This window comes from Homo sapiens, chromosome 10 (genome assembly GCF_000001405.40).
Source record: "Homo sapiens chromosome 10, GRCh38.p14 Primary Assembly".
NCBI classification, from domain to species: Eukaryota; Metazoa; Chordata; class Mammalia; order Primates; family Hominidae; genus Homo; species Homo sapiens.
In genome coordinates, this window is record NC_000010.11 from 11,390,878 (window position 1) to 11,400,256 (window position 9,379).

A 9,379-nucleotide genomic window follows, 5' to 3' on the forward strand; every position below is an offset into this window, starting at 1 on the left:
GGTTCCCAAAGGCTGGGAAGGGTGGGGGGTGGGGCAGGAAGTGAGGACGGTCCGTGGGGGGTGGGAAGTGGGGATGGTTAATAGGTACAAAAAATAGAAAGAATAAGACCCAGTATTTGATAGCACAACAGGGTAACTAGAGTCAAAAACAATTTAATTCTATGTTTAAAAATAACTAAAAGCAGCTGGGCACAGTGGCTCATGCCTGTAATCCCAGCATTTTGGGAGGCTGAGGCAGGCGGATCACTTGAAGTCAGGAGTTCAAGACCAGCCCGGACAACATGGTGAAACCCTTTTTCTACTAAAAATACAAAAATTGCTGGCCATGGTGGTGTATGCCTGTAATCCCAGCTACTCAGGAGGCTGAGGCATGAGAATAGCTTGAACCTGAGAGGCAGAGGTTGCAGTGAGCCAAGATCACACCACGGCACTCCAGCCTAGGTGATAGAGTGAGACTCTGTCTCAAAAATAAAAGAGAGTCATTGGATTGTTTGTAACATGAAGGATAAATGCTTGAGGGGAGATTAATATCCCATCTTCCAAGATGTGATCATTACACATTGCATGCCTGTATCAAAACATCTCATGTACCCCATAAATATATATACACCTACTATCTACCCACAAATAATTAAAAATTTTAAAAAAAGAAGAGCTACAAAAGGGAAGTCAAGGGTATGGAGAAAAAGAAGGCCTCCTGGACTAGGTGAAATGTAAAAAGCCTACATCTTAGTTTGCTTGGGCTGCAGTAACAAAATACCACAGATGGGCAGCTTCAGCAACACAAATGCATTTTCTTGCAATGATCTTGGAGGCTGCAAGTCCAAGGTCAAGGTGTCGGCAGGGCTGGTTCTTCTGAGGACTCTCTCCTTGGCTTGGAGATGCCGTCCCGTCTCTGTGTCCTCACATGGTTTCTCTCTGTGTATGTCTGTGTCCTCATCTCCTCTTGTTAGAAGGACACCAGTCCTACTAGATTCGCTTAATGACCTCATTTTAACTTCATTATCTCTTTAAAGACCCTCTCTCCAAATAGAGTCCCATTCTGAGATGCTGTGGGTTAGGACTTCACCCTATAAATTTTGGGAGGGACACAAATAGCCTATAAGGCTATTAGTTGTTGATCAGGTGACCGATCCTGAAAAGAATGTTGTATTAGTCCATTTTCATGCTGCTTTTATATACCCGAGACTGGGTAATTTATAAAGAAAAAGAGGTTTTACGGACTCACAGTTCCATGTGACTGGGGGGAACTCACAATCATGGCCAAAGATGAAAGTCACGTCTTACATGATGGCAGGCAAGACAGAATGAGAGCCAAGCAAAAGGGGAAACCTCTTATAAAACCATCTGATCTTGACTGGGCATTGTGGCTCATGCCTGTAATCCCAGCACTTTGGGAGGCTGAGGCAGGCAGATCACCTGAGGTCAGGAGTTTGAAACCAGCCTGGCCAACATGGTGAAACCCCATCTGTACTAAAAATATGAAAAGTATCCAGGCATGGTGGCGGGCGCCTGTAATTGCAGCTACTTGGGAGGCTGAGGCAGGAGAATCACTTGAACCTGGGAGGCGGAGGTTGCAGTGAGCAGAGGTCACACCATTGCACTCCAGCTTGGGCAACAAGAGTGAAACTCCATCTCAAGATAAAAAATAAAAATAAAAACAAAAACCAACAAACAAAAAAACATCCAATCTCGTGAGACTTATCCACTACCACGAAAATGGTATGGGGGAAACCACCCCCACGATTCAATTATCTCCCACCAGCTCCCTCCCACAACATGTGAGAATTATGGCAGCTACAATTCAGGATGAGATTTGGGTGGGGACACAACCAAACCATATCAAATGTTCTAGAAAGAAAAAAATAGCTGGAGAAGAGCAGACTGTGGTCGTGAAGGGTCTGGTAAAGTCTGAAATATTTCACCTGTCTTAATGGTGACTCTAAAATCATTGAAGGGTTTCCAGCAGAAGAGTGACATGAGAAACTGCATTGTAGAAAGGCCCTTCTGTTTACATGGTGGGTAAAGAGCTGGAGGGGGCATGGCGGGTGCTGCGAGACCAAGTGCTGTGGGCAGTGCAGGTGGCCGGTGACGGTGACGGGGGCCGGAGAGAGCACTGCGCACTGTGTGGTGGGAGGACTGGATGCACAAGAGGGAATCTCGGGACTAGAATCTGTTGCTGTGAGTTACTGAGTGGATGGAAGGCATGGAGGCCAGAAACAGAAAAGTTCAGGGGGGGATTTGGGAAGAAGATAGGAAACAACGATGGGGACGGAGATGCTGATTTTTGGAGATGGCAAGAGAAATGCAAAATTTGACAGACCCAAATAGAGATACCAAAATAGAGCGCTGGGGAGGAGAGGGAGACCTGGGGAGATGCTGTTTTCGGGGTGATGTTGGGACACATATGGAAACTGGAGCCCTAGCGATGGGGAGAGGAAGAAACAAGACAGAGCCCCAGGGAGCACAGGACTGAAGGGCTGAGAAGAGGAGACGTCAGGGAGGAGCCATGAGAGAGGCAGAAACCCAGAGAGTGTGGTGTCTCCGGAGGCAGGGGACGGAGAATTCCCAGAGAAGAGTGGTCACCACAGAGGTGTGGCCACGCGAGGAAGGGTGGGGAGCGCCCAAGGCATGTGTCTATACAGGGGGCACTGGTGGCCTGGGTGAAAGTCATTTCAGGGCCATGTAGGATTGAAAGCCAAACTTTTGTGGGAAGAGAAGGTAGGGAACAACCCTGGCTGGGAATGGGAGGAGAGAGGAGACATAACTGGAGAAGTTAGGAATCCTGAAGGAACTTTTATGAGAGAAAAGACATGAACATACATGAAAGACACAGAAGGCCGGGCACGGTGGAGAAAGGAGCGGGCAGCTGGGCTTCCTGGGTCGAGTAGGGGCTCAGAAAGCTGTGAAACTCACTCATTTCCTGCTTCAGGACTTCCTTCGGTCCTGGATGAATAATATTGAAGATATATGCTTAAAATATTCCTAACGCCCAGATTTGTACATGTGTTTTCTTCCCCAAGAAAGCTATAAACAGCGAAAATTTTGCTGTAAGTTTCCCTGTGTCCTTTCTCCCTCTCTCCTTTCCCTCTCCCCCAAAACTAAAGTAAAACAAACGTTAATTGCCTGTTTTTCTGTGACCAGCGGACCTTATCTCTACTCCCAATTCCAATTCCTTGTAAACATACTTTGTAAAATCCTGTGAGATCCTGACTCCTTTGCCATGCCGCTGCAAGGTCATAAAATAGATAAAACCTAAGTTGCAATTTTGATTTTCCTCAAAATCTATGGCATGTCACAAAATAATTTACTGCCTTTGTTTCTCGTTCTAGTAACGTCTTCCCGCCTCCCATATTTCCCACCGTAAAGAGCTTAAAAGGCATTTACCCAAAACCAACAATGGCTACCCATTCGGGACCCCTTCCAGGCTGTGGAAGCTTTGTACTTTCACTCTGCTCAATAAAGCCTACAGCTTTTTCTCTCTATTGGTCCATGTCTCTATCACTCGCTGCAGGCAGCCGCCACACCAATTCTTTGGCGTGGCTAAGGCAAGAACCTTTGCGTTACAGTGGTTCACGCCTGTAATCCCAGCACTTTGGGAGGCGGAGGCAGGCGGATCACTTGAGGTCAGGAGTTCGAGACCAGCCTGGACAACATGGTAAAACGCTGTGTCTACTAAAAATACAAATATTAGCTAGGCATGGTGGTGCATGCCGGTAATCCCAGCTACTCGGGAGGCTGAGGCACAAGAATCACTTAAACCCGGGAGGCAGAGGTTGTAGCAGTGAGCCGAGATTGCACCACGGCACTCCAGCCTGGACAACCGCAGAAGACTCTCTCAAAAAACAACAACAACAAACAAACAAAACAAAAAACAAAACAAAACAAAAAAGGATGCAGGAGAAGAGCACCATGGTGACAGAGCCATGGATCCTGAGGAGGTGACAGGGAACACGGGCTTCAGGGATAAGAAGGGACAGTCCTTCCCCCAACAAGAGCAACCAGAGCTCATAATTGGAGCCATGGAACCCCCTTAGGGGGTGGGTAGGGGAAATGCTTAGAGGGATATTTTATGTAGATCCTGAGTCTAGGTTGAATGAATGAATTCATAAATGAACAAATGAGTGAAAACCCAATATGTTTGGCAATAGACATCCAAATCCGGGCTGTTACTTTTTATGAGATTTGTCCTAAGACGGCCACCCATGCCCCGTGGCTACTTGGTATCTAGAATAGTAGACAGGAACCATCTATTACTTCATGGAAATAGGACATCGAGCTACCCACAGGCAAGCCAGAGTTTTCCTCCAGAACATTTTGAATTAACTGTAAGAGCTGGAGGAGTGTCATTAAAGCCACTGAGCTGTTGTCTGGACCTGGGTAATTGGAAGGAGACTGTTATGAGCAAAAACAACAGGAAGCTGCCTTAGAGCAGAGTCTCTCCCTCACTGCCTCTGGCCCTCCTAGCACCGTGTCCCCATGCCCCCAGTACCACTCTGATGTCTGACTGCAACAAGACACCCCCTCTGTGGGCACCAGGGTCCAGATTAAAGCCCATTAGAATAACTGGGCCATTGACTTTCCAATTACATCACCCCCACAGGTCCTTCTCTCTCCAGTTCCTGGACTCATTAGGGCTCAGATCATGGAACATCTCCTCCCGCTAATGGCCCATGAGAAAGTTTAGAAGGGAAAGTGACCCCTCTACTACTTCACTAAACGGAAATGAGGAGGAAAAGGCCACCGACTAAAGCCACCAAGTTTTTAGTGTTTTGAGAGAACTTTCTCCTGACCATGGGATAGCTACAGCATGAAGCCTGGACTCAGGGAGACGTGCCTATAAACAGAACAGACATTCATCCACGCATTCCAGAGACCGAAGCTCAGAGTTCCAGAATCTATCATTCCAGAAGATTCCATCATTCATTCCACTTGTAGACAAGGGCGTGTGAGACCTCTGGAGCCAGAAGAGGCTTGTAGAAGCTAGGTGGGGGTCAGGGGGCTGCTGGCCAGGAAAAGTGAAGTCTGCCAGGAGTTGCCTGGTTTATGTAGACTCATACCACAGAACCACGGGTTCTGGATGAGGTTCCCCTCTCCAGGGCCGGTGAAGAATGTTGACGGTGACTGGACTACAGTAAAAATGCAAGTTTATCAAGATGCTCCCAGCACAACCCTGTGTGCAGGGCCTGGCCCCACATATCTGCAGCCACTGGCTGTCCTCAGGGGCAGGTGTCATCCCAGCTGCCTGCAGAGATCCAGGCACAGTCAGCTCAGGAGAACGGTGGCCGAGCAGATCCTCCATCTATTCACTGGGGTCCTGCATAGAAATGCCATCTTTCTCTTGGTGAGTGTGGCGTCCCACTCTGAGGTCAGACGTGGGGACTAGCCTCTCCAGGCCTCAGAACCTCCGGCAGCTCCCTCCCCGACATGCCCACAATTCCACAGCCACGTGGTTAGCTCCACTTCACTCAACAAACCTGCACGGGCCCCTGAGGCAGCAGGCACTGAGGAAGCAGGTGAGAAATCTCCCAATCTACCCTTCCCAGAGCTCTCGGTCGGTCGCTGCATGCGACAGAGAACGGGCTGGCTGTGCCACGGGAGAAACTTCGACAGGTGGTAGGAGCCAGGTTCTGGTCCTGGTCTGCCCTCTGACAGGCTGTGGGACCTCCAGCCTCAATTTCCCACTTGCAGAATGAGGGAATTGGACTGAAGTCTCTGGATTCAAGCTGTGCCTTGAGGACGCCCTCTCCCTCCCCCCAGGATTCGAAGACGGGCCTACGTGCCTGAGGGTGGCAGAGTGGACCTGGTTTCACGCATGCTCAGAGCCCAAACTGCCCCTGCAGGCAACAGCCAAGATCCATGAGTCAATGCCATGGCAGGCAGGGGATTGAGTCTACCAAGCAGCTGCACGTGTCTCTGTGTTACAGACAGAGTTTCAAGAAGGACCTGCAGCTCTGGAAGGCTTGCCAACTGTGATTGGACTGGATGCTCTCTGGTCCTGCTGGCTACGGGAGGCTGGAGGCCCCTGTCTGCTCATTGCACCCCGACTTGATGGCCACAGAGCCAGGGAGCCTCATGGGCCACCTCTGACCCGCTGGCCTGGAGGGAGCTTCCTGACTTCACAGTATTGAGACAATTCCAAGATGCTGAAAGGCATCCTGTTAAAATTAGGAGAGACCTCAGGGATATCTAATTTGGACAGCACCCCCTGCCCAAAGTCACACGGCCAGGCTGAGCAGGGCCAGTCCTGACCCCTGACGCCCAGCCGGGCCCACACCATGAGTGTGTGGCTCAGCCCTGCAGCCCCACTTGCTCTGACCCCTTCATGAGTCATTCTTCCCTGAGCTGGATAAGGACAAATGGGCAGGGAGGCCCGCAGCATCCCCTAGTCCTGCCCACCAGCAGCTGTCCCCCAGGGCTCCTGGTCCCCAGCAGTGGGGATATGGCCAGGAGCTCCCGAAACCTGTGTCAGCACGGCCTGGGGTTCTGTTCTGGGCCTCCACACTGAGACAGCTTTGGGTAGCGTGCTGTCTGCAGATGCCCCTCCGAAAACTGATCTGAAAAAGCAAATTCAATGAAAACAGTATCCAACGGAGGCTGTGGAGGGAGTTTAACAGGCGCAATGCAATCACGCAGGTTGGAATGAATCCAAGACTTCGATGCTCCCAGGGAGGCCGCTTGAGTTCAGCAGCAGTTGTATAAAATGACACCCGAGATGGCCCAGCTTCCCAAAATCAGAGCAGAAAGGGGATTCCGAAAGTGGCATGTGACCGCGTCCCTGGCTCCTGGGCCTTCTCACTTCATGCTCCCCACCTGAGCTCTCTCCATGGGCTGTACCTTCTCTGCAGGTTCCCAGGGCAAGATGTACGCAGTCATCTGTTTCACCACCCGAGCCTGGCCCCTGCCAGCAGCCAGCACAGAGGCACTCATCTTCTGAGACCCCAGAGTAGCATGTGAGGGACCCAGAAAATGCCCCGATGGGAAGGGCCTTTGGGATCATTTTGATCCAAGGTCCTCAATGCACTTGACTTTGAGAAAGGGAGTCAGAAGCCACAGCGCAGGGGACCATAGAAACAGCTAAGGGTCTCGATTCTGGCTGAGCCTCTCCCTGACCATGTGGGATGGGGGCAAGCTTCAGACCTCATCGGGGCAGGCTTTCCACAGTGTCTATCCCTGGCTGTCCTCACCTGCCAGAGGAAAGAGGGTCGTAATCCACAGGCCTCCTGTGTGGAGGACTCTCGGCTCCTGCATGGACCCTGCCCTGGGAGCACACTCAGCACCGGGGACAAGGGACTAACCACAACCCACTGAAATGCAAGCCAGACTGCACAGAACAGGAGGCCTAAGCCAGGTGCCTGGGGAGCCCAGAGGAAGAAATGACTGCCTCTGCCTGGGAGGGATCTGGGAGGATTCACAGAGTGGATGACATTGGAGCTGGGAGTACTGAACAGATCATTAAGAGTTGGCAGGCAATCTTCCCAGCTGGGCTGAGAACATTTCTCAGCTCCCCAAAGGCAGAGGAGCTTGTCTGCAGTCAGGACCTAGCTCCGTGGGAACCTGAGCCATGCCAGGCCACACTCTTGGCAGAGCCCTGATGGGCGGATGTCGAGGGCTTGGACTCAACAGTGCCTCATCCTCGACTTCATGCCCTGGATCCAGCTCTGCTTCATTAATCTTTCCCTTCTAGAAATGCTTCCTCATGCACTACTTTTCCAACCTCACTGCAGCAACATGACCTCTCCACTTGATGCGCTTGTTAAAACATACACAGAAATAGAAAAAAGAACCCAATGAACTTCTATCACCTAAAGTCAACAATTTTCAACACATGGCCACCCTTGTTTCATCCATATCTCCCTTTCATTTCCCCAACCCCAGACACCATATCGTTTCATCCATAAATATTTATAAATGCATCTGGAAAAAGATCAGAGTTTTCTTAATACATATCCACAATACCATTATCATCCCTTTAAAAATGATATCCATCTCTTGCTGGGTGCGGTGGCTCACACCTGTAATCCCAACACTTTGCAAGGCCGAGGCAGGCGGATCACTTGAGGTCAAGAGTTCAAGACCAGCCTGGCCAACATGGTGAAACCCTGTGTCTACTAAAAATACAAAAGTTAGCTGGGCGTGGTGGTGCATGCCTATAGTCCCAGCCACTCGGGAGGCTGAGGCAGGAGAATCACTTGAGCCCGGGAAGTGGAGGTTGAAGTGAGCTGAGATCATGCCACTGCACTCCAGTCTGGGCAACAGAGGGAGACTCTGTCTCAAAAATAAATAATAATGGTATCCATTTCTGAATATTATCAAGTATCCAGTCAATGATCCTGTAGTCTGGCCTTTGCTGATGTCATCCCCAAGATGTCATTTAATATGTTCCTTGGTCCCTTGAATTTCTGGTAAGTTGATGTGTAACCCTAGAGACTTCATCTGATTCAGGCATGATTCTTTTTGTCGAGGAACTTCAAAGGTGGTGATGTTTCTTCCGCTGGGTGGTGCATAGTATTTGATCAGCTCTTGTGTTATCAGTAGACATCGATGATCATCGCCCAGATCCATTCATTCATTCGAGGTTGTCAAATGGTGTTGATCTAACCCTACAATTCCTTCCTCATTTATTAGCTAGAGTGCTTCTAAAAAGACAGACACTTGGAGATACGGAATATTTATTCCATAATCGAAAAAGCAGAAGGAATGTTTGATTCTTTCTCTTCTTATACCAGTTCCCCAAATACTGAATGGTTTTCCCAGCATCTTCCAAAAGTGGTCGACGTGGGTATCATTTTTAGTGCCATTATCAAGGTTTGAATTTCAACATATCTGATGCGTTTTAATCCATTGTAACCAATCCCTTGCAGCTACAGTCCTCACTGGTGCTTGAATCACCTCATCTTTGGCCAGTAGGAACTATTTTGGCTCCAGCGTCCACTTCGGTAGGCTCTTTGCTTTTCTGGTGTGATGAGATGCTCCAGGCCTCTCTTGCACATTCATCTCGTTCTTGTTTATTTCAACAGCAGGTCCCCTGACCCCAGCCTCCAAGCTCTCTGCGTCCTTGCTGCAGCTAGATTAATCTTTCTCTAAATTAAATTTTAGCTCTGTTTCTCTTCTCGGGAGGGAAAGAACACGCATGAGCTTCAGAACTGGGAGAGCTGAGTTTGAAAACTGGCTAAATCCATGACAACTTATGTAACCCTGGCCACTTACATCACCTTTCTCAGCCTCAGTTACCTCATGTGTAAAAATAGGAGTAATGATATCTCACCTTACAGCACTGTGGGAAAGATGAAACAAATCCTCTTTTCTCCCATCCAGTAAAGTCCTCTCTGGGCACACACACTCTGTTGCAGCCATTTTCATAAATGCCTATTAAAGC